The following is a 24,514-nucleotide window of genomic DNA, read 5'->3' as shown; positions in this document are numbered from 1 at the left end:
CTCTCTCTCTTTGCCTGCCACCATCCATGTAAGATGTGACTTGCTTCTCCTTGCCTTCTGCCATGATTGTGAGGACTCCCCAGCCACGTGGAACTGTAAGCCCATAAAACTGATTTCTTTTGTAAATTGCTCAGTCTTGGGAATGTCTTTATTAGCAGCGTGAAAATGGACTAATATATCATGATTGAGACCCAACTGATAGTTGCAGTGTGCAACATGCATGTGTATGTTGAAAGATACTCTTCAGAGATTTTTGTTTGGTATTTCTTCTCAAGAACACAAAGGAGCAGGACAGCTAACATTTTTCCCATTATGCAAGGAATTCATTAACTAGCACAATATTCTCAATTTGTTATGGTGTGTCCATATGAATTCTTAAAGACTGGGGTCCCACCAGAGTAAAGAAACTACTTACCTTTTAAACCAGCTCTGAGTTTAAAATAATTTCTTTTGTGGGAAATCCTCAACAATTAAACAGTTAGTTGGTATGTTTCAGAGAACTTTGTTAGGAAATCACATGAAAATGTGGCCAACGCACTACCTATGAGGCCACTGGTCACCAGCTGAGCTGAAGGTGGAGCTTTTTCTTCTGTTCTGTTGCTTTACATGGATAAAACCAGTGTCTTCTCTCTGTCCGTAAGAAACTACATTTGTAACTCAGTGAATCTTTTAGTCCCTGATATTAGGAAATCCATAAAGTACAGAGATCTAGAAAGTTCCTTCAGAAAACAGTGTTCTGGTGAATTAGTTTGCTGAGACTGCTGAAACCAAGTACCACAGATTGGGTGACTTAAACAGAAACTTATTTTCTCACAGTTCTAGAGACCAGAAGTCTGAGATCAAGGCATCAGCAGTGTTGGTTATTTCTGAGAGCTGTGAGGGAAAGGTCTGTTCCAGGTCTCTTTCCTTGGCTTGTAGATGGTCTTCTTGTGTCTTCACATCGCCTTCTCTCTGTATGTATCTATGTCCAAATTGTCTTGTCTTCTAAGGATATCAGTCATATTGGATTGGGGCCCATCCTAATGACCTCATTTTGAATTGATCACCTCCTTAAAGACCCTATCTCCAAATATAGTCACATTCTGAGATCCTTGGAGTTAGGATTTCAATATATGAATTTGGAGAGGGACACAATTGAGCCCATAATATCTGGATACAAAGTTTTGTGGATCTTAAAGATCTACTCACTTTTAGTCCCTGTTTGAGTTACTGCAGGACCTTGTCCTATAGGGCAAAATGAGTCCTAAATGTGTCCCCACACCACAACAGCACTGCCCATCATGCACCGTAACCTTTCTTCTACTTTTACTTCAGCTTCGCTTCGTCCCATCAGCTCCTCACAAGGCTGCTGGGAGAAGAAGGCTTGCTGTAGCCACCAGCCTCCAAGAACTCCAGAGTCCTTGTCCAGGGTGCAGGGCCCATGCCCATGGTTGCTGGTCCTGGGGGTGTCACAGCCGTGCTCCCAACCACACCTGTCACCTGAGCTCCTGAATCAACTTGGCCTGTCCTCAAGCCTCACAAAGTTCTCTGAATAACTCATCCAGCCCCAGGCTCCAAACCCCCACTGCACAGAGGACCCCAAACCTGCCTAGACTTGGAGAAAAGACTCCATTCTGCCCTGTCTAACCTCTCTAACCTCTCCTCCCTCTACTACAGCCTGTCCATCCTACAAAACATCCTCTTTCCTCTCAAGTTCAAGACAGAGACTTTAATCCTGAGCAGTAGAGACAAGCAATTTCCAGTATGTGAATCTATGTCAGGGTGGGGGTGGGAGACAGTGTGGGTGGGTGGGGGCATGCTGTGTGGTGAGGAGGTATGTGGCATGTTTGCAGGTATAAAAGGTAATTTTAGAACAGAATTTGATTTTTCAACACGAACTCCGAACGATCAGCCTGTAGCCATGAAGGGGAGGGAGGCTCCCCCTTAAGTTCCTTTTTGTCTGGGCCTGAGAATTAAATTCACACAAGACAGATCAACTGGAGAAAAGCATACAAATGAATGTAACAGATGTGTTACATGGCACAGGAGCCTTGTAATGAAATGAAGACCCAAGAAGAAATTAGAGTCAATTACTTATATACTGAATTGGCCAAAGATTGGACCAAGCAAGTTTTGAAGAAGCAACTAGAGTTCTGGGAAGACTTAAAAAAATAAGAGTTATTTTAACAAGGTCTGTACAGAATTCTCTTGGTCTCAACTTCTCACCCTTGGTAATAAGAATGTTGCCTTTTCTTCTCATATAGGGAGGGTGTCTTTCACGTGGGAATTTCATCTCCTACTTTTTAAAAACAGAAACAAAGTCAGAATGATCTACTTGCACCTGCTGATTTTCAAGTGCCTTTAATTCAAAATAGTCAACATGTGAGAGTGGCATATTTTTAACTCCTTCATCATCTACAGATATGGTGAAATGAAGAGAATCACAGAATCTGAAATAGTTATAAGAAATCCTAGAGATACTTTTACCAGTATCTTTATAGTTTAAGTAAAGAAACTGGGACACAGAAATATTGTGTCCAAGTTTACATCATAGTTTATAAAAGATTGAATACTCTAAGTCTAAAAGCTAAGACGTGCAATGGTCTGATACTACAGATTAAAACTGTGGAAAGAGTTCCATATGAAATTGTATTGGGGCTGGGCACAGTGGCTCATGCCTGTAATCCCAGCACTTTGGGAGGCCAAGGTGGGTGGATCACTGGAGGCCAGTAGTTTGAGACCAGCCTGGGCAACATGGCAAAACCCACTCTCTCTACAAAAAATATAAAAAATTAGCTGGGCGTGATGGTGCACGTCTGTAGCCCCAGCTACTCAGGAAGCTGAGGTGGGAGGATCACTTGAGCCTGGGAGGTTGAGGCTGCAGTGAGCCATGATTGTGCCATTGTACTCCAGCCTGGGTGACAGAGTGAGACCCTGTCTCAAGAAAAGAAAAGAAACTGTGCACTGGAGTATCTGTCCAGTTCATAGTGTCTTCCTTAAAGTTCCCTCTTCCCATGCCCAAAGTGGATCAATCTCCATTCCACTTTCCACAGTTGGCTGAACTGGACTGGACACCTGACCCAGGATAAGTCAATCAGAGTCCCTTCTCAGGGAATTTGGAATTAGGCTTGGAGATAGACAGTGGCAATTGATGTAGCTAGACCCAGTGACAAGGTCAGATTCGCCGCTGTCCAGTGGTACCCAAGCACGAGGCAGTGGTACTCTTTCGCCACAGCACTAGCCCTGCTCTGGGATGAGGCCCGCCCTCTGTTGGGGAAGGCTTAGGAATGTCCTGCTCTGTTCAAAAGGCTGCTTGTCCACTATGGCCTGAACAGATGGAGATCGCTAAGTCTTGAGTCCAGGAAGCCCTTTTTTTGCTGGCCAAGGGTATGTGCTGGCTGCTGCCTGTGGAAGAACTTGTATAGGTCACAAAGCAACAAAACCCAGATAACTGTGGCACCTTGGCAAAAAGCACCAGGGGCAGTGTGGGCTCACTCCACAGTGCTCCTGGATCTGTAGGTCTGGCTAGGCTCCCCCATGTGGCTCCCAGCCCTGGGGAGTGAGGTACTCACAGTCTCTGGGTGCCAACTCTGCCTCCATCCATACGGCTTCCCTAAGATCCTGTTCCTTTATCCCCAGGGCTCCACTGACCTGACCTCTCCTACCCCCTGGGGAGAGGGTGGTCATAGTCAGGGTCCTCCTGCAGCTTCTTTCTAATGTATTATTGTTAGGACAGAAATTGTATACCTTGTTTCCTTCAAGATCTTCCCTCTCAATTCACAATCCTTTCTTTCTTTCAACAAAACCCACCTCATTCTTCAAATCAAAAGCTTTGGCTTTCAGAGCTATTATTTCTGATAGGTTCTTAGAAAAGAGTCTGTTTTGGCCGTGTGCAGTGGCTCACGCCTGTAAACCCAGCACGTTAGGAGGCCGAGGTGGGTGGATCACTTGAGGTCAGGAGTTTGAGACCAGCCTGGTGAAACCCCGTCTCTACTAAAAATACAAAAATTAGCAAGGCCTGCTGGCCCATGCCGGTAGTCTCAGCTACTCAGGAGGCTGAGGCAGTAGAATCACTTGAACCTGGGAGGCAGAGGTCGCAGTGAGCTGAGATCGCACCACTGCACTCCAGCCTGGGTGACAGAGCGAGACTTCATTTCAGAAAAAAAAAAAAAAAAGCCTATTTTGTAACAGCCCCCCACCACCACCAACAAAAAAGCATTGGCCGTTTCTTTATTTTTGCATACTAGCACTAGCTAACCACTCTAATTCTCTCTTTAAGTCAATGTGGATGGCTCTGGGTGAGCACAAGGAAATGCAAAACAGAAACACACACACACACATTAATATTTTAAGAAATTACTTTGCTATGTGGGTAAACTCACTATTGTTGGCAGTCATATTCCACCTTGTAAATTAGGGAGAGGGTATAAGCCAGTTTGCAGAGATGATCATGAAGCTGACTCACAAAGAGAAACAGAGGAGATGGTGAAGCCAGGAATAGTGGCTCACGCCTATAATCCTAGCACTTTGGAAGGCTGAGGTGGGCGGATTGCTTGAGCTCAGGAGTTCGAGACCTGCCTCGGCAACATGGTGAGTCCCCTGTCTCTACAAAAATAAACAAAAATCTTCTGGGCATGGTGGCATGTACCTGTAGTCCCAGCTACTTGGGAGGCTAAGGTGGGAGGAACCCTTGAGCTGGGGAGGTCGAGGCTGCAGTGAGCTGAGATCATGCCACGACCCTGCAGCCTGAGTGACAGAGTGAGACCCTGTAACAAAACAAAACAAAAACAAACAAACAAGCAAAACCAGAGGAAACAGTGGAAAGAGGACTGTCTGGGTTCCTGACACTTTTTAAATTCCAAGTTTTAGTCTAAATAGAGCTGTCCTTTTTCTCCATATCCTTAAATATCATTCTATTCTTAAAATAAATTTATAATTTTTCTTAAGCTAACTCGAGTTTATACTTTTAGCAACCGGAACAGTGCTAATTAATACAGTTTCATGGTTGCAAAGCTAAGCTACATTTTCCCAACTAACTTTAAAAATCGTTATAGAGATTAACACTAGTAGTTAAATGGTCCTATAACTTTTGTTATAAAAGTTGGTATTATTTATTGCCCCTCTAGTTAACATTTCCCTAATGAAGTTTTCAGAATGTGGTTGCAATTAGTCTCAAATGTTGGTATCCATCTGGAAAGAGATATGACCAACATAGACTCTCTCTGCCCCTCTTGTTAAATGGTAGTTGCTATGCCATGGGCGTCTTCCCCAGGTAAAGACTTCCTCTCTGTGTGTTCGGACCACGGGAGCAAGCATCAGAGGTCCGTGCTTAGCCGGCTGCCGTGACGCTCCTGATGCCATTGACTCTCTCGCTTTGATTAGAGGTCTGCCACATGCTAGGGAGGAAAGTAATTTCCTTCTCTATTATTTTCACTCTGCCCCGATGCTTTCTTTTTAGGGAACCAATACAAGCCTGCTTCTTGGGAATTTTGCTCCCGTGGCTCCTACTAATCGCTAGCAGGCAGTGATGCAGCCAAATTTCTCCCAGCTCACTGAAACGTATTCCTGCCTTAAACTGGAGCAGTCAAATTCTCCCTGCAGATAATTTGGAATTGGGCTTTAGAGACTCCGGTCAGTCTTGATTGGGGTCTGGATAGAAAGTTATTGTCGGGCTGGCCTGGGCAGCCATGAGCATCTTGCAGCAGACATTGCTGGTCTGAGAGAGACAAAGCAAGTGTGCAAAGGGAAGGGAGGATGAGGAAACACTCTGCCTCTCAGAGAGGTATGCAGAGGACCACCTTTTCTTCTGAATTCCCCAGCTTCTTGGACTCCAGTTCCTCCTGAGGCTGGGCTGTACTTCCTGCCCTGGGGTTCCTTAAGATGTCCTTATATTCTTCTCGAAAACTTCCCTGTGCTTAAGCTCATTTGAATGGGCTCTATGCCAGTCAATCACAGAGTCTTGCCAATAGCTCACTATAGGGGTCAGTCATTACATAATTGATAGAGTATGTGACTGTCACTCATTCACGTGATTCCCAAAACAGGTTTCATTAAAGAGAGAAAAAGAACACAATTTAAGTTAATTTCTTCCCTTTCCATTTATCTCTTCAGAGTAGAAAATGGCATCTGGATGTATTGACTTTCCTTTTTAATATGAACAGAGACTTTAGAATTCATTTTACAAAATTGTATTATATGGCCAGGCACAGTGGCTCACGCCTGTAATCTCAGCAATTTGGGAGGCCAAGGCAGGTGGATCATTTGAGGTTAGAAGTTCAAGACCAGCTTGGCCAACAGGGTGAAACCCCGTCTCTACTAAAAATACAAAAATTAGCCAGGTGGTAGTGGCGTGCACCTGTAATTCCAGCTACTAGGGAGGCTGAGGCAGGAGAATCGCTTGAGCTTAGGAGGCTGAGGTTGCCATGAGCTGAGATCACGCTGCTGCACTCCAGCCTGGGCGACAGAGTGAGAAAAAAAAAAGGTAGCATTATGTATTAGTTGTAAGCATAAATGTGAGAACCAAAAAATTATCAGCACTTAATATATGGGATGACAGATTCAGCAGTCCTGATTTTAAATAATATTGAGGCCATCAGATCCTTTCCCTCATAAATGTCAGCTATTTGTGGAGTGACCCTGTGCTTAGTAGTGTTTCAGAAAGCTCCTGACAACTGGAGAAGTTGGGTTGAACTTTAATGAAGAAAAAGCTAACTGAAAATGGAATGTCATCTTTGTCCAAAGTAGATACAGTTTGGCTGTAGCTTTCCTAGACGATTAAAGCTAGAAGAGATCAAATAGGGCCTCTTAACCTCGATTTTATTATGTTTTGGGTGAGGCTGTGGACCCACTGAAATTTATGCAAAAGTTGAGGTTAAGTGCATGCACTGTTATAAGGAAAGGAGTAATGTGTTTCATCAGCTAACCAACAGGGCACATGACACAGGAGTTAACAACCAGTTAAAGCCCAATCCCTTTTTAACAGAAAACTGAGGCACGGCAAAAATGTGATTTGATAAGTCACACATAAATACAATGGTCAAGGCAAAGACTGAAATCCACACATCCGGAACATTATCCAGGGTTCTTCTGCCGCACGACAGTGCCTCCTGAGTGCTCAAATAAAAGCCTCTTTAACGTGGGATTGTAATGAGCAGGCAAAGCATGCTCTTCAACGGCGAGACAAAGGTTGCTGACTCCAAGAATTTGTTTTCCTCAGTAAATATTAGCAATAACTTAAATGTTTATAAGATTCATCTCATGGATTCTTGGGGATATGCATGGAATCAGGTGAGAAAGTACCCCCTAAAAATCTGCACCCCCTAAAAAGGCGGTGACAATTTTATAGCATCTTTATGTCTTGTGTATGCCATGATTTCACCACAATCTCAGGATTTGGAGGGCATCTTTTATGATAACCTCTTACAAATGAGAAAACTGAAGCTCAAAAAGCTTGAATGACTTGCTTACAGGTCTCATCATCTGAAGATAAAACTAGTTGTAAAATGAAGGTTTTTTGACTCCCCGTCCTTTGATCTGTAGCACATGGCTTTGAACTTCCAAAGTGCTCTTCTCTGGATAAGAAAAATGCAGCTATAGATATGGGGATATAAAATGATTTGATGGCAGTCAAATAAATAGTGGATGAGCCAGGACTCAAACTCCTGTTTCCTAAATTATCTCTAACCACTAATAGTAAAAATTTTGTGTTTATATTGTTGTTGTTTGTTAAGTAATAAAAATCTCACCTAGCAGAGAAGAAGGGTGCCGCAGGGAAATGAGACCTGAACTAGGGAAACAGAGACCTGGGGTCTCTGGCTGTGTCACTTGTTCACTGTGTGAGAGCTTTGACAAGTCACTTAACAGCTGGGCCTGGATTTGCTTTGGGAAATGGGACAGGTGACCTCAACATGCTACACTCTTTCAATAGAACAGGCTTTTTTGATTCTTCTGTGTGTGTATCATAGCCCATGTGATAATGTGGCAGAATTCGCATTCTGGTGCCCTATCTGCAGTCAAACAAACAAAATGGACATGCTGTGAGATGTTTTTGAGAGAATGAAGTGAATTTTGAAAGCCATTTTTATTAAGCTAAAAGTAGCAAACTACGAAGGATGGGAACAATTAGTCTAATTTCTTTAACTCAGGAGTCTTTATGAGTTAATTACCTTGCAACTTAGTTCAAGAGTAGTGTATTGTAGGCTACTAAAATTTTAAAATATGATAGCTCTTTACTTCCAATTCCAATTTGAGTTTTAGTGGATATTTTCTTCCCCAAATATGTGGTTGAGCACATATTGTTTTCTAGGATTTCTCGTGTATAAATTCACTCTCTTTGATGGGAGAAGCTAGAAGCAGATGTAGTTTACTTTCAAGGAATTAATGTCATCAAAATTCATCATTTCTGTGAGATCAGGAAGAATATGTTTAGGTTGAACTACTGCTATTAAAGTGTTCTGATCATAAGTCAAAGCTGCTCTTAACAGGAGAAAAATAAATATATTTTAGAGGCTTAAACATATTTCAAGTCCTTTTTTAAAAAATCATTAGTGAATTGTTACTGTTGCCTTCTAAAACTTCTCTTCATGCCTGCTTTTCACTACATATTTTTGAAGCCATAACAACTACAGATAAGCAGTGATAAGATAAGCAAAGTGTTTTAAACCAAAGAAACATGGGCTAGTATATACAGCCAGATGTCAATGAGGGTACCCTGGTATCCTGGGTCAAGAGTCATTAATATATTGCAGTTAAAAAGTCATTTTACTGAAATTTATGGAAAAACAAAGAAAATAAAAAATGTTTTCTTTTACATTAATTTGCTGTGCTGTAAATTTTAGGTGTTGCCTGATTAGTTGTTCTATGGGATTCTTCTTTGACCTTTTTAGGTACAGACAGTGCAAAGGTGGTGTGCCTAGTGAGCTTGGATGTATCAAACAGCTGTAAGAAAATCTCTCCAACCTTCTCTGAATAAAGGAGGAATGTGGTGTTTATTGAGGAACAGGCAACCCTTACATTTGAATAAAAGATGCCATATAGTGAGTCCATTACTCATTTTCATATTCTTCCTGTTTACTTCTGTCAGTATGCTGTGTTTTACTTTAGTAAATTAAACTATTGCATCAATTATTTTTCCCAATTACCCTGTTTGGTAGCACTCTCTTAACGTTCTTAAAGTTAACTGTAGCCTCTTTAATAATCTGCTTCCACAGCCTGTTCTCACCCTGCTTGACTCTTACCTAGTTTGACATTCCCAATACCCTCTATTCTGTGGCTTCCTGCCTGTTCTTCTAGGATGTTTCTTTCTCTCCGTTGTCCTCCCATTTCTCTGACTGCTCTTTCTTGGTATCCTTGGTGGCTTTTGTTGTTGTTCCACCTACCCCATATAGTTAATATTTCCCAGAGATCTAGCCTTACCCATCTCCTCTTTTATTTTCCTGTTGTCTCATTCACTCCCGTGGCTTCAGCGGCCAATTAGGAGACTCCAATGACTATCAAATCTAAGATCCCGGTCTTGACCTGAATTCCAGGCTTTCCTGATCTCCAGACTTTTGTCTCCAAGTAAATCCTAAGTAGCTCCACTGAAATAAACGGAAGGCCTCTCAAACTCCACAGGTCCCAAATAGAATTCATTGTCTCCCTCATTGTGGAAGGCAGTCTCCCGGGTGGCCCCTAGTGGTACTGATTTCCCGGTATGCATTCATGTCCTGGAGTGGGAGCAGAGAATGAGTCTGGGTAGTGGGCAGTTTATAATGCTTTATTACATTCTTTGTATTTGTTCAGGATAATGGTTGTCTGTTTTAGATTACAACTCTTTCAGGCTCAAAAATCATATTTTAATTTGTTCTTATGGTCACCTTGTCCTTAGATGTGCCTAAAAATGTTAATGAGGATAATTTTTTGTTGTGTTTAGGAAACTTGAGTTTTTAAAAACATTTTCCCCATCTTTAAAAAAGACAGTTGGGAGCCATTGTGCCTAATGGCCAGGCACAATGGCTCCCAACTGTAATCCCAGCACTTTGGGAGGTCAAGGTGGGAGGATTGCTTGAGCCCAGGAGTTCAAGGCCAGTCTGGGCAACATAGTGAGATTCCATCTCTAAAGAAAATTCAAAAAATTATCCAGACATGGTGTCATGAGCACCTGCAGTCCCAGCTGTTGAGGTTGGGGTCACAATGAGCCATGGTTACACCACTGCACTCTTCAGCCTGGGTGACAAGTGAGACCCTGTCGCAAAAACAAAACAAAACAAAACAAAACAAAACCAAAAAACCCTCAATTTAAGACACAGGTAAAATATAATACTTACATTTAATTTTGAATTTCTCTCAAGTCATCAGTAGCTATGCTGCTGTGCTGCTGCTTCCTCAGTCCCTGCACAACTGTCTTATTAGGGCCCTCACACTAGCCCACATCAAGGAGCTGGAGAAAACCTATATTTTTAAAATGCACAATCTGATTTTTCCTTCTCATTACAGACAGAAACCAGAGCAAAAATAATACTTATCACCTGCAAACTGATTTCTTCTCTAGGTATCAATGAGTTCCTAAATTTCTTGGTGCAGTTTCTCCTTTATAAGATGAGGATAATAGTGCCAAATTTGTTGGTTTGTGAAACGGATTAATTAGGTCACAACTAATGATAAAGATAGCCTTGCAACCTTTAAATAAAGGTGTTATTTCTAGAATTTTCCACTTAGCGCAAGAAGGGAGAATAGTCTAGAGTTCACTATTGTAAAATTGACTTGTCTCCTTTGTAATTAATAAATAATTTGTGAGTGAAATTTGGAGATGCAAATTAAGTTAAACCATGGTTTGAAACCTAGCTAATTTGTGTCCCTAAAGGGCAGTTCCTAACACTATGCCTGGGCATTTTTAAGCAGGTGGCTTAACAAATGCTTGCTAAATGAATGAATAATTGAATAATTGCATATCCTTCACTCTTGTTCCCCTTGGTCTTTATTGTCACTGCTCAAGTTTGACCACCTGAAGGGTGAACAACCGCAACAGCTTCCTAGTCACTGCCTCCACATAACATAGCCAGAATCAAGCCCTTTGGGGGCGTCTTGGAACAGCTTATAAACCTTAAAATATTAGCTGAGCATGGTAGCGCACACCTGCAGTCCCAGCTATTCAGGAGGCTGAGGTGAGAGGATTGCTTGGGCCCAGGAGGCAGAGGTTACAGCAAGCCAAGATTGCACCACTGCACTCGAGCCTGGGCAAGAGAACAATACCCTGTCTCAAAAAACAAAAACAAACAAAACAACTTCTAATTGCTTCCCAGATTGAATGAGAACTTTGTATGAGTTTCAAAGGATTTCATTTAGTAGGCACTCTTTTCTAGATGTTTTATATCTAATTAAACTTTTATTTGAATTTTCTGCTTTAGTCCATTACATTTTCCAGTGGTATTGGAATGTAGCTTTTCTGCTTCCCAACCTGGGCCTTTCAGACATGCTAATTCCAAAGCCCTGCAATGCCCTTTCACTTCTCCGCTTCAGTAGCTGCCTTCAGAAAGGCTTGATGTTTACTTTCTTTGGGAAGCCTCTGCTGCAGGCTAGACACCACTAACAACCAGCTGATCAGTACTCACATATGGCCTAGTTCTTTCCACATGTGTGTATTCAAGCTTTATCTATAAAGTGTTTACCATGTAAAATGTCTACACATAGTACAGGCCACTCAGTTCAAAGGATATTTGACAGGATCGGGTGCTCATGAACAAGTGACTGGCTTAAGTTCCTACTACTAGTTGTGGAATAACTATTATCTCTTGAGACGTCTGTTTTCTCATCTGCAAAATGGGGGTGATAAGTACCTCCTGGAGTTGCAGAGGATTACATGTAAAGTAGTTGGCCCAGTGCTAGGAAATGGAGGATTTTTTATATGGCACTACCTACCAGATTAAGAATATAAGCCTGAGTTTTAAATCTTTTGCTTTGCAAGGCAGAACTAGATCCTGTCTTTTAAATAAGAAATCATAGAAAAAGTGACTTCCCTTATAAGCCAGCTGTCACATACCTGTGACATGAAATGGAAAAGTCTTGAGAAATGGAATCCTCTCCTCTCACTTTTAAATATTAAAATATATTAAAATTGTTCTCTCTTTGAATAAATTACATAACCTCTAATTAATTTCCCCTTTAATGTTAATTTTTTAAGTGGAAATTGCCTTTTATTATCCTAAGAATTGGAATCAAGTACCTGGCTGTATCTGCGATGTCCCTATCTCACTATACAAATTTTTCTGTTGCCTTCTCACCAATAAAAATCAGAAAGATGTGCTCCAATTTGAAAGTTAGCCAATATATGCAAAAGAAACTCATAAAAGTCAATGTATGAGCATTTTCTGATGATGGAGACATTGGTTGAATTCAAAAAGAAAATGAATGACCTAGTTCATTTTAACTGCTGATGAAAAACATGCTTACATTATGTTGTCAGGGATCTGGGGATGGAAAATACATACTTTTTGGGGGAAAATAATGAAAACAATGAGACTTTGAAGAGCCTACAGTGTAAGAACATGCTACCAAAAAAAATCACTTTGTCTTTTGGGAAGGATAATAGCAGGGTATGGTGGGTGCTAGACCACAGACGTTTGGTTTAACAGTTCACAGTCGAAGACGATAGGTAGTCTCAGAAAATTATAAAATGTCTCTGCTGAAACAGTTACCAGTAAGATGCCACCTACGTATGCACTACTTAACTAGCTTCCTACATACTGCAGCCTAAGTGACCTGCCAACATAGGGTGTCTGTGACAGTTACGAGAGAATGGCCATGCTTGCTTGGGATTATGTGTGGGTGTTGAACATGGCACTTGGAACAAATTTATGAGGTGCAAACTTCTAATGCAAAGATGACTCATAAGGTTTCAGAATGTGTACATATGAAGCACATTCTAATTTATACCATCACTAGTGCTCACCCACAGCAAAACTAGGCTAGGTTGATTACCAAATTGTTTGGACTAACAGGAAATTCACAAAATTTGTCACTCTTAGTAAGTGAGAAAAATTATTGGGTTCATGATTTTAACATGTGTGGCACTACCATCTTGAACCAATGTGATGTACTTAATCTACATTTTGCAACATTATGTTTTGATGTCAACATTGAACTATCACTACTTCTCAGAGACTGAAGAAGCTGATTCTTTTAATAAGTTAGAATGGAAAACTTAAATAGAATTGTATAATAAAGCAAACATTTCAATAGAAACTTCTAAAACTTAAAACTGTATTTAGGTAGGTTTCTCGATTTACATAAATGTAGCATAATGCTCTGTGCAGAGGAAATTTTTTAAACATTTTACTGAAAGTTATTCTTAAGATATTTAATAACTAAATTGACTAAAGTGCACTAAATATAAAGTCAACAAAAATTAGGAGAGGTAATTTCCCACTTCAGTGTCTTGATTGTGGTAATCAGTATACAATGTACTGGTATAAAAAACCATCACACTGTATACTTCAATATCTTTTTGTCAAATATTTTAAAATTAAAAGAATAAAATGGAAAAATAATGGTAACTAAGGATTTCATATGGATGTTGAAATAAGAACTAAGATTACTATTTTATGTGAGTCTGATGTTCCTTGAGGGTTTTACCCCAATTGCTAAAAAAAAAAAAAACTCATTAAAAATTCCTTTAAGATGAAGTGGTAGAAGCCAGACCTTTAACATTATTGGAGCAATACTTTGAAAGTAAATCACTTAGCAGTCAGAATAACAATTTGGAAATTGTGACCAAATAGTCAAACACAGCTGGGAGACCTAGAATTTAACAGGACATCGTTTTAACACTTAAGAATTGTGTGACCTAACAGATGGGAAGACTATAAAAGAGTAAGGCTTAATTAACCAACTTTGTAAACAGAACCAGTTCACAGTTCCCTTAAAAGTGATTACGATTTGCTAAACTTAGAAAGTAAAGATTTGTAAGCTGAACTTAACCTTAAGCACAATACATTTTTGCATTCTAATAAGTTGATTATGAACTTAAAAAATAAATTTCTGATTAGGCTTTTCTGCACAAAAAAAACACCTTTGAGGTGATCACAAAAAAAAAAATGTCATAGGTCAGCAGAAACAGATGCCAAAGATTTTTTTTTTTGAGACGGAGTTTTGCACTGTCGCCCAGGCTGGAGTGCAGTGGCATGATCTCGGCTCACTCCAAGCTCCGCCTCCCGACTTCACGCCATTCTCCTGCCTCACCCTCCCGTGTAGTTGGGACTACGGGCGCCCGCCACCATGCCTGGCTAATTTTTTTCTATTTTTTTTTTTTTAGTAGAGATGGGGTTTCACCGTGTTAGCCAGGATGGTCTCGACCTCCTGACCTCGTGATCTGCCCGCCTCAGCCTCCCAAAGATGTTTTAAAGGTTTAACTGTTGCATACTCAGAAAGTAAGAAAAATCCTAGCTCCAGCATTTTGCTTTTGATCACTTCTACATGAAATAAAAAATTGTCTTACAGGATCACTATGGACATAGTTAACAGTAAGATTTTTGATATTAAATTGTATTTACAATAAAAATGTCAGGCACTGGATCATTCTCTTATTAACTTTGGAGGCCTACTTACAAATTTCATTTATGAGGACACCCACAGATAAGAAGCTTGCATTCCCTGAAACACCACCCATGCACAGCTGGACCATATGGTGGCTTTTAGTAAAAGAGCAACTACTGTATTTGGTCATTCAAGCTGTTACAAACATACAAGGTTTGTTCAATTCTAACTTCAGCTACTTACTAATTGAATTGATTTCCTAAAAGAGGCAGACCTTCTGGCTTCATCAGGTTGGTTAATACCTTGGTTTTCTTTTGAAGACTTGATGTAGTACATTAAGTCACAAGCAAAATGGGCATTGTGTTAATAATACTTAACTATTTTGAGACCCAAGTGGACAGACCATAAGTTAGGAAATTCCCTGCATACTTATTTAGCTTTTAAGTCTTAAATAGTGTCAACTATAGTTGTAAAGGTACACTAGGTGCTAGTAGTCTCATAATTACCAAATCCTAAAGCTTTTACCCAAGTGGTTTCACTAATTAAGGACAGATGAAAAGCACCTTTCCCCGCTGCCTTTTGACAGATTTAGTGGATCGTCAAAGGAATGATTACCCAGGCAAGCAGATCTAACTGCCATGCAGTTTCAAAATAAAATTGCAGTAATTTAACAACAACAACAACAAAAACAACAACAAAAAAGCAGCCTCAAAGTGAAATGTACTGCCACTATGGCTTTTTATCAAACTCCACCTCTGAATGTTGATTTCAGTCCTGACCGATCTCTTCTGAATCTCACTCACTGAATGTGCTTTCTCTCACCTGTGAAGTGCCTGCTACCACAATGTCTGCCTAATACAGAATGCACTTAAATGTCAGCTCCTCATCCCAATATGTAAGGCACTGAAATTTTTATGTGAGTGGTATTAGTTCCTACGCAGCTAGGTTTTGGGCAAGGATCATATATTTCGTTTGTGACCTTTACCTCTTCCCTGGCACCTAGCACAGTGCTTGGCACACTGATGATCTTCATTAATCTATAGAACTCATCAATACTTGCTGAAAGGTTCTTCCTGGTTCTTTACTACAGGTTAGCTCAATTTCATATAATTAACCCATAACACTGAACCCAAATCACATTAATATTATACATATATGTATTATAGATGTTAAATCCTAATGTTCCTTTTATTAATATTTAGAAATGGTGAAGTTTTAAAAACGTCTTCATAAACTTCTACATAAATGAGAATATAAATTGACCTCTCTCTGCCAGACAAGAGTCTACTGAGAACCTGTTTACCAAATCATTTTTTAGAAATGACGGTAGCTGACAATATTTAGTCCCAACCTAAGACGTAAGTTCTTGTCCCTTAATACTGAAACCCAGCTTAAATAAGCAGATAAGCGAGGTAGAGTGGGTTAATATTAGTCACTGGAAAACTTCTATGTAGAAAATGCTATAAACATAAATGTGTGAGGCACAGAAAATCTTTATTGCCACAGGAAGCAAGTGCATTCGTCCCACCTCACCAACAGCTTGAAGAGTCACAAAAACGTGGACATCGCACAATAAAGTGTAAGAGACTCGGGGAGAAATGGTCCCTTGGACTATATTGGCTGTAATACTGAGGTAACCAATTGACCTTGTTCAGTGAAAATACCTCTAACAAAATGAAAAAATCAACTAATTATAACTTCCAATTCACATATACAATTCAAATAAAAATATATATTATTTGCTTTAATGTATAGCAAGTTTAATACATTAGTGTTTACAAAATAAAAACTGTATTCTACTGAAATTTTTCTTGTGCTTCCACCTTATCACTAAGCTTGAAAGACTAGAAACATAAGATAGTTAAGGAAACTTATTATGAATTTAAAGATGCAATCTGTGGGTCCACAACGAATGGATAAATATTGGAAGTTGGAAGATTACTGCATCTTTTAAAATTGTGGCTTATGAAAATCTACAAACTTGACTGTAAGACACAATTAAAAAAAAACAAAATGTTTCAAAATAGATTAGAATACAGGAAACGTTTCATGAAACTACTGAGATATACTAACCAGTGCTATGGCTAATATTAAAAACTGAACAGTCTATTGAAATCGTACTCATACTATTTCTACACACAGTGAACAATACAACCACAATAATCAACCTCAAGCTAGCAACAAAGTTGCAAGGTCCATAAGAAGCTTCTTCAGTGAGCAAAACACTATGGTACAATTAAAACATTTAGGAAGGGGAAAAAAGCCTTTTAACAGTATAAAAGTTGTTTACTGGCGTTTCCTACTGTAAAGTACTTCTACAAATTAAAATGAAGAAGCAATTTATATACGTGACAGTGATCTGAGACTACAGTGCAGACATTTCATCTAACATTTGGCTGACAAATTTTAGTGTAACAGATTATGACTTAATATTTTTTACAATTATGATCTAGAGCAGAACTAAAAACAAAAAAACACATACTCTCTTACACTCAGAGTCAATACACTCTTCTCAGTAATATCTGGGTTTAGATGCATCTGTAGGAAGTAGGTAAAGCTGTCAGTTATCTTCTCTTAAACCAACAGAAAAAACGTATATTGGCAGATGTATGTTGTTTTACCATTATGAATTCCAATGTGAAATTCTCATAAGTATGCAAGTAAATTATTAACATGTAAGCACACTCCCATATATATGCACATGGTCCATTAATTAAATTGGGGGAACTAAAAACATACTGTCAAGTTAAAATAAATTTTAAGAAAAAACTGCATTCATAAATCTCAAAGGTGTAGAAAAATGAAATTGTAAAATAAATAATGAATATAGCTGTCAATTAAACTTCCATAGAAATATGCCTACAGATGTGGATGCAGTGATTGTCCACATTTGTGATGGCTGGGTGGGAAGACATTCCCTAGTGAAAGCATCTAGTCTCTCTGACTTCTCTACATAGAGAAGACTTTCTGGATATAAAATAGTACTTAATCTGTTACAGCCTTTGTTAACAGTCGCCATCTTTATAACATGTAGGGTTAACTTACTGTGTCTTAATCTATTTAACACATTCTGAAATATCAATGTTTAAGTCAAAGCTTTTATACATGGGTCCACTTATTTCAAGTTCTCTGTCCAAGCAATAGCTTCCTATCTTTGAAACATCTTAAGTAGCTATTAATACAATCTAGGTCAACTAGTTTAAGATATATTTTCTACTCTATTGCTCATCTTTTTAACTTTCCTCCACTCAAGTATTTATTGTGTAAACGTGCATTGATAACCAGATGTTATATGACTGAATGCTAAAAATTTCCTGTTAAACAAAATCAGTTTTATCAAATATTAAATCCACAATATTTTCCTTGGCTTAAACTGAGTATTCGCTTTCTATTTTTCCATAATCATTGCAATCTTGCCAATAACTGCATCACTTAAGCTTTCTTTTTCACAACTGCAGGCAGATTCTAAACTCTGACATATATTTACGTTAAACACACAAAGTAGACAACAAAATTTCAAGTAAAATAAACTGTATCCACATCTATTAGACCAAACAGGTCTCAACATCTAGATTTTACTTCTATAAATTACACAAATACATTGTACATTCTTAAATAATGAATGCTTACAATATTGATTTGTAAGCCTTTCCATATAAAATGACTTAACACAGGAATGTGAATGAATCAATATTACTGTTATAGATTGCAACACTCTTGATTTTCTCTTTTGTGGCTGTTGTTTTATCTTCCTGGTTTCCACAGACTACCGTACCAGTCCTTTTGCTTTGGCTATGAAATCTGTTTGAGCTGAATGAGGCAACACTGGTTATTAAGGCTTATTTCTATGATGGAGTATTATCCTTAAATCTGATGCCATTTCCAGAGAACGGTGAGAGAAATCACAGCTATCTTGAATCTTCAGGCTCTGTTTTGATGACTTTCTTTTCTAAGGTAAAAGCTGAATGAGGGTAGTCTTTTAAAATCCCAAGGCTCTCTACATAAAAATGGAAACAAAGTGAGTTGATATTTTAATCAATGGACTACAAAAATCAAACAAAGTTTTAAAACAAACCCCCAAACTCCATATCAAATAGTATCAACTATTCATGATTCTGTAATTCCATGCAAAATTTTTGTTCATAGAGCTGTTAAGAGCTTGGATTCTGGATTTAAATTTCAACTCTGCCAATTACTAGATGTATACATATAGTATACATATATGTATAGATGTATACATCTCTGGGCAAGTTATACACCTCTCTAAGCCTTAATGTCTTCATTTATAAAATAGGAATAGTATCTACATAAAGTGGCACGAAAGTTAAATAATGAAATGCACATAAAACATTTAGCATATAGAATATATTAATTTTTATTTAATGCTTGATCCAACATGATAAATATATAAAAGGAAGCTGATTATTCATAAATAACTGTTACTGGTTAAAATATTTACCATCAATGAAGGAATCAGACTGAAAAATATCTTCATAACCTTGGAACTATTTTTTAAAGTTCTTCCGACAATGACATATTAAGGTAGGGGAAATAGGGATAAAATAATGAACACTATTTTCATGAGAAATCATTCCATGGAGTTCTATGTGTACAGTTATTTCAACCATACACAAACACTACAGAATAACAATCAAATGTAACCTTTATGTAAAGTACAAATACTGGGAGATATGTACACACACATATACATGCAAACATCCACATCACATACACTCACACCTTGGATTCTAGAAAGTAATCAATACTAATAGCTTATCTGAAATTAAATAGCTCAATTTATGAATCCTCTCTATCTAAACAGAAGGGGATTTTAAGTTCCGCGTAAGAGTAGTAAAAAAAAGTAGCTACTATTTATTGAATTCCTGCTGGCTGGAATAGATAGTGTACGATGCAGGTACACTATCTTGTTTAATCCTCCTAACTACCCTACGAGGTAGAAATTACTTCTCTTTTACCAATGAAGCAACTGAAGGACGAGTACTTAAGTAACTCAGTCAGGGTCACTCAGTCAAGTATCGGTGCTAAGATCTGGACCCAGGCTTGCACTGTATGAAACCTGTATTATTCCTATTCAGTTAAAAATAAAGAATAAGGTGGCCGGGCACAGTGGCTCACACCTGTAATCCCAGCACTTTGTGGGGCCGAGGCGGGCGGATCACAAGGTCAGGAGATTGAGACCACGGTAAAACCCCGTCTCTACTAAAAATACAAAAAATTAGCCAGGTGCAGTGGCGGGCACTTGTAGTCCTAGCTACTCGGGAGGCTGAGGCAGGAGAATGGCGTAAACCCGGGAGGAGGAGCTGGAGTGAGCCGAGACTGAGCCACTGCACTCCAGCCTGGGCGAGAAAGCGAGACTCCATCTCAAAAAAAGAAAAGAAAGGAAGAAAAGAAAAGAAAGAAAGGAAAGAAAAGAAAGGAAAGAAAGGAAGGAAAGAAAGGAAAGGAAGAAAGAAAGAAAAAGAGAAAGAAAGACGCTTTTTCAGGCATTTCTTCATTCGGTTCTACCTAAAAACCTAGATCAATTATATCTCTATGTAATATATCTCCATGAAATATGTAAATATGCCCCATGATGAGACACATGATCAATGTAATTGGAGTATTCCTGTTACATAGAGTCTTCTAAGGAATATAAATTGGTAAAAAGTCGTTTTTTGTTCGTTTTTGAAAAAACTTTAAAGATCACTTTTTTTGTGTTATGGAAAACATGAGACCAGGATGTCATCTTTTTAGGATAATTTCAATTTCCCAACCTCCCTTTGACATTATTAAAATGGCTACAATCAAGTATGCAATAGCATGCTTTAAAGTCACAGTACCAGAACATTATTTAGAACTCGTCTTTTTAGCATCTGCTACCAAGAGTATGATCTAAAATTGAAAGACATAAATGCTCTTGATAACACTTTTTTTCTAGTAAATACATAATTCATTCTATCTAGATAACAGATGTAAAGTCAGGTTTAATCCTAATGCTTGTAAAACTACATTTCCCGCTGACTTACAATGCAAATTTGGAGCTATTTATTTGGCTTTAGCTACCTCATCTATAAAATCAGTGACGTTGATTAAGTGACTCCTAAAGTTACTTTAACTCAAAGACTTGAATGATAACAGATTCTTTCAAATTGTGCTGGTCTCTAATGCTTTAACTAGGTCTAACTCACTTTACTTGGATAAAAATATGTAAATATCTAACTATGATAAGGAGCTGCTCATCCTTTTATGGAATTCAGTTTACTTCTGAAATATGAGTATCACCTCCAAAATACATCTGCATGAAAAGTCTAGATTTTGATACACAAGGTTTTCTCACTGTCAAAGCAAACATGTAGTCCATCAATTTCATATTATGTTATTGCCAAAAAAGGTAGTAACACAACTCAAACCAGCTATTTATTATTAAACTTTCATATAAACATCACCATTCATATAATGGCTAATCAAAGTAATCTCAACTTTCATGAGTTTTCCCTGTCATTGTTCGGAATATGAAGTTTGCAAAAAGACTAGTGAGAGCAGCCAGTGTTATGGCAATCTACCACTTCCAAGGGGAGAAAAACTGACAATTGAGCATCCCTTATCCAAAATGCCTGGGACCAGGAAGTGCTATGGATTTTGAGCTTTTTCAGATTTTGGACTATTTGCATTACACCAAAGGTTCAGCATCCCAAATCTGAAATGTTCTAATGCGGGTTTCCTTTGAGTGTCATTCTGACACTCAAAACATTTTGGATCCTGAAGCATTTCGAATTTTCCAGTTAGGGATACTCAACCTGTAGGAACACTGTCAGTAATGACTTTTTTTTTTTTTTTTTTTTTTTTGATGGGGGAGGAAATAGAACAGAATTTAAAGATGCTTTTATTCAAGTGTTACCCTCTCATCATATAGCACGTTCTCACCTGATGAGTGGGACTTTGCCTCACTGGGGTAAAGTCTGCTCAGCTCCCCATCCACCACAAAATGATGGGGTTGTCTGTTCTGTAAATTAGGCATTCGGAGATTCAAAGGTCTTTCTCCTAATGAAAAGAAAAAAGAAATATGCATAATATTAAAAACATACCATGGTTTTTCTTAAAAATAAATTTTGCCTGAACACTCCTTAGGAAAAAAGTGAGGAGAGTCAACGAGCACTGAAGAATTTAAATAAGACTTGGAAAAAACATTTTAAATAATAATTTAAGAGGAAAATGGCAAGTCATTTCATGCCAGTCCCAAGGTTTACAATTCTGCCAGGATATTTTTAAGAGCTAAACAAAAGACTGAGAATTCCTGTGAGCATTCCAGTTTTGGCATATAATACATCTCCTCTATAAGGCATTTTCTTACTAGAACAACCATTTTACCAAGGCATGTCATTAATCATATAATAACAAGTACTAGAAAGACACAGAAGGCTTCAAGCCAATTAAAGATTAAAAAAAAAAAACTACAGCAAAATCCGTGAAAAAACAGATTTAGCACAAATATGGGAAAAAATTATACACCCAATCATGTTGTCATGTACTGAAATCCATCACATTAGCAAATTGTCACCCCACACTGAATTATCCTGGTGTCACAAATTAGAGTCACCAAATCTTTAATAATTGCCTTTGCTTCTTAACTGTTAAGGATAATTGGAGAAGTTAAACAAGACCTCAACTCAGAGGTTCCTGTAATATTTTTAAAAGGAAGAACTTTCTTCTCTTCCAGTACTCTGATGTGTTGACACATGTAATATTTCAGTCCATGGCTGGAGAATCCTTGTTAAGATGGTATCCTTACCTAGGAATCCTTTTATTTTTTTACAATAATAACCACTCTCTAGAAAAGTATAACAATAATATATAAAAAGGAGGCACTATAAAATTATTTTTTTTCTTCAAACACTTATTACTATTTGAAACTAGAGGATATATAACCTGTACATCTCCCTCCACTACATGTAAGCTCCAGGTAAACAGGGATTTGTTCCCTGCTGCATCTTCAGTGCCTAGGAGAGTGCCTGGCACATAGGAATTGCTAAAAAAATAAAATGCCTGTTGGTTGGGTGAATAACAATGACTTGGGATTTTCTTTATGTGAGGATGTGAAAAGAATGAAGTACTTTTTAGAATGGTAAAAACACTCACGAATCACATGGCTTTCTAAACCTGAGCTGTACTCTGTCATAACACTTTAGATGCAGTCACCATATTCTTTTAAGAACCAAATGCTGTAAATTTCACAAACTTGTTTTTGAAGTCTAAAAAAATATGAAGTTTTGGTCATTTAAAAAGGATAAACATCTCTCCCGGAATCTGCTTCTTCGGGGAAAATAATCTGTACTGTTGACATCTCACATTCCCACCAACCCCTACAAAATAATACATGTCAATCTCAGGTGCCAACTGCTTAAAGATTAAAAAATTTACAAATTAAAATTTGCAGGATAAATTATCTTTTTAGAAAAATGAAGAATTCAAAAAATAATTTTGATAAGAGAACCTGTAAAATAATCTCTACAAAATATCATAATTTAAAAATCAGCCACTGTCTTCTGTTTCTCTTTGAAGTGCACATAGTGGCCCTAAAGGCATAGGATATTCTAAAGATGTACCTTGTCCATCTGAGTTATCGGAAGTCAAGCCGTTAGGACTGTGCTCTTCTGAGCTCTGCCTGTAAAGCCCTGCAGACAACCTCCTCTCGGCATGCTGCAGTCTCTCATAGCCAGCTTGGTTGCAAAGGAACTCCATCTGCTTTGCCATCACCTTTTCAGGCTGCTAGTAAGTAAAGCAAAAATCAAATCAGTAACTGAAACATTCTAGATTTTTTAATGGTTTAAAGATGCCAATTTCAGACTCCAGCAAATATATTTAGTATTCATTAAAATTAGTTCACACTTCATGTGGTATACAAATTCCATAAATATGCATAGATGTCTATATCATCATGTTAAAACATAAAAGGCTGGATATTGTACAAAAGATAAAAGCTTTCTTCTCAATTCTTTCAAGAGAATTCCATGTCAGCTCAAAAGCAACATAACCTTAGCTTTGTTTTCCAAGGTACTAAGTCCTTTAAAGGATTTTTTAAAACAGAAATCTAAAAGCAACAGCAACATCTGCTATAAACTACTTCTAACACTTGGGGCGAAATCTTGGCATTTTTATTTTAGGATCTGGCAGTACACAGACTCTGATATGATGACAATATGTTTGGGGGAGAAAAGGTGTAAAACGGCTGTCTAGAAGAACAAGACAAATACACTTCCCACTAAAATTAAACAATGTAAATTATGCAGAAAAACATCAGTGCCAATAAGCATCTTTACCTTCATCATGAAATGAAACTGCAGTATTTCCCAACCAATCATAAAAAGGCATATTTTAAATATACAATTAGTCAACTGACATATAAATTTATCTCTGTATGTGTTTTATAAGTTCCTTTTCAATGCACTGCTCTAAATTACTTATATGTGATATTCAGAGCAGTGTATTTGTGGTATTTTGCCAAGGAGATAATAGTCAAAATGCACAGATATGAATCACTACCATGCTATATAAGAGAGTAGGACAAGAAAGCTGCTATATAAAATTGGTTACAAAATGCCCTGATTCACAATGTAAAAATCAGTAGGTAAAATATATTAATTCACAGAATAAACATGATAAACACACTATTTTTCTGAGTGCATATAAACCAAATCAAAAGTAACTACAACTTCATTTCATTTGAACTTGTTACTAAATTGACAAAATTTAAATAAGCATATCTGAGGTAAAAAATGTATTTTTCATCCTAACATGAAAAAAACAAAACTTAGCAGTACTAAATTTGATCAAAAGCAACTTATTACAAAGAAGCTGTTCAATAGGAATAAAAGTTTACAGTGCTTTCTAAAAGATGATGTTTGCAGAAAGCATTTTAAAATTTTAATTTCAGTATACAGACAAAATTAAATAACTTAATGGCAAAAGCACCTGAAGCCACATATTCATTTAATAGTTTTTCAATAAATATGAATTTAAAAGATTTAAC

The 24,514-nt window shown here is 37.9% G+C and overlaps 1 protein-coding gene across 48 annotated transcripts in view, besides 2 other annotated features; it reads right to left on the bottom strand.

The window, feature by feature from the left end:
- Nucleotides 739-968: an enhancer, noted in NCBI's record as "active region_16866". NCBI's record gives its function as "activates an Ori minimal core promoter by ATAC-STARR-seq in GM12878 lymphoblastoid cells {active_cell/tissue: GM12878}" and the evidence as "EXISTENCE:reporter gene assay evidence [ECO:0000049][PMID:35858748]".
- Nucleotides 3,763-3,832: an enhancer, noted in NCBI's record as "active region_16865". NCBI's record gives its function as "activates an Ori minimal core promoter by ATAC-STARR-seq in GM12878 lymphoblastoid cells {active_cell/tissue: GM12878}" and the evidence as "EXISTENCE:reporter gene assay evidence [ECO:0000049][PMID:35858748]".
- Nucleotides 15,963-24,514, bottom strand: part of NAB1 (NGFI-A binding protein 1) — a 43,872-nt gene continuing 35,320 nt past the window's right edge. For 35 of the 48 annotated variants that reach the window (XM_047444447.1, XM_005246582.2, XM_047444446.1 and 32 more), the window contains 3 exons: nt 23,091-23,253; nt 21,412-21,528; nt 15,963-18,484 (listed from right to left, as the gene is read on the bottom strand). In XM_047444447.1, the coding sequence (XP_047300403.1) occupies nt 18,396-18,484; nt 21,412-21,528; nt 23,091-23,253 (369 nt within the window). In that variant the 3' untranslated portion in view covers nt 15,963-18,395. The remainder of the gene's footprint in view (nt 18,485-21,411; nt 21,529-23,090; nt 23,254-24,514) is intronic. The other 13 variants (XM_047444465.1, XM_047444459.1, XM_047444464.1 and 10 more) reach the window with 1 other exon arrangement.

The sequence above is a fragment of the Homo sapiens genome, chromosome 2 (genome assembly GCF_000001405.40).
Source record: "Homo sapiens chromosome 2, GRCh38.p14 Primary Assembly".
Classification (NCBI taxonomy): domain Eukaryota; kingdom Metazoa; phylum Chordata; class Mammalia; order Primates; family Hominidae; genus Homo; species Homo sapiens.
The sequence above is the reverse complement of the archived record's forward strand: the minus strand, read 5'-3'. Positions and strand labels throughout refer to the sequence as shown.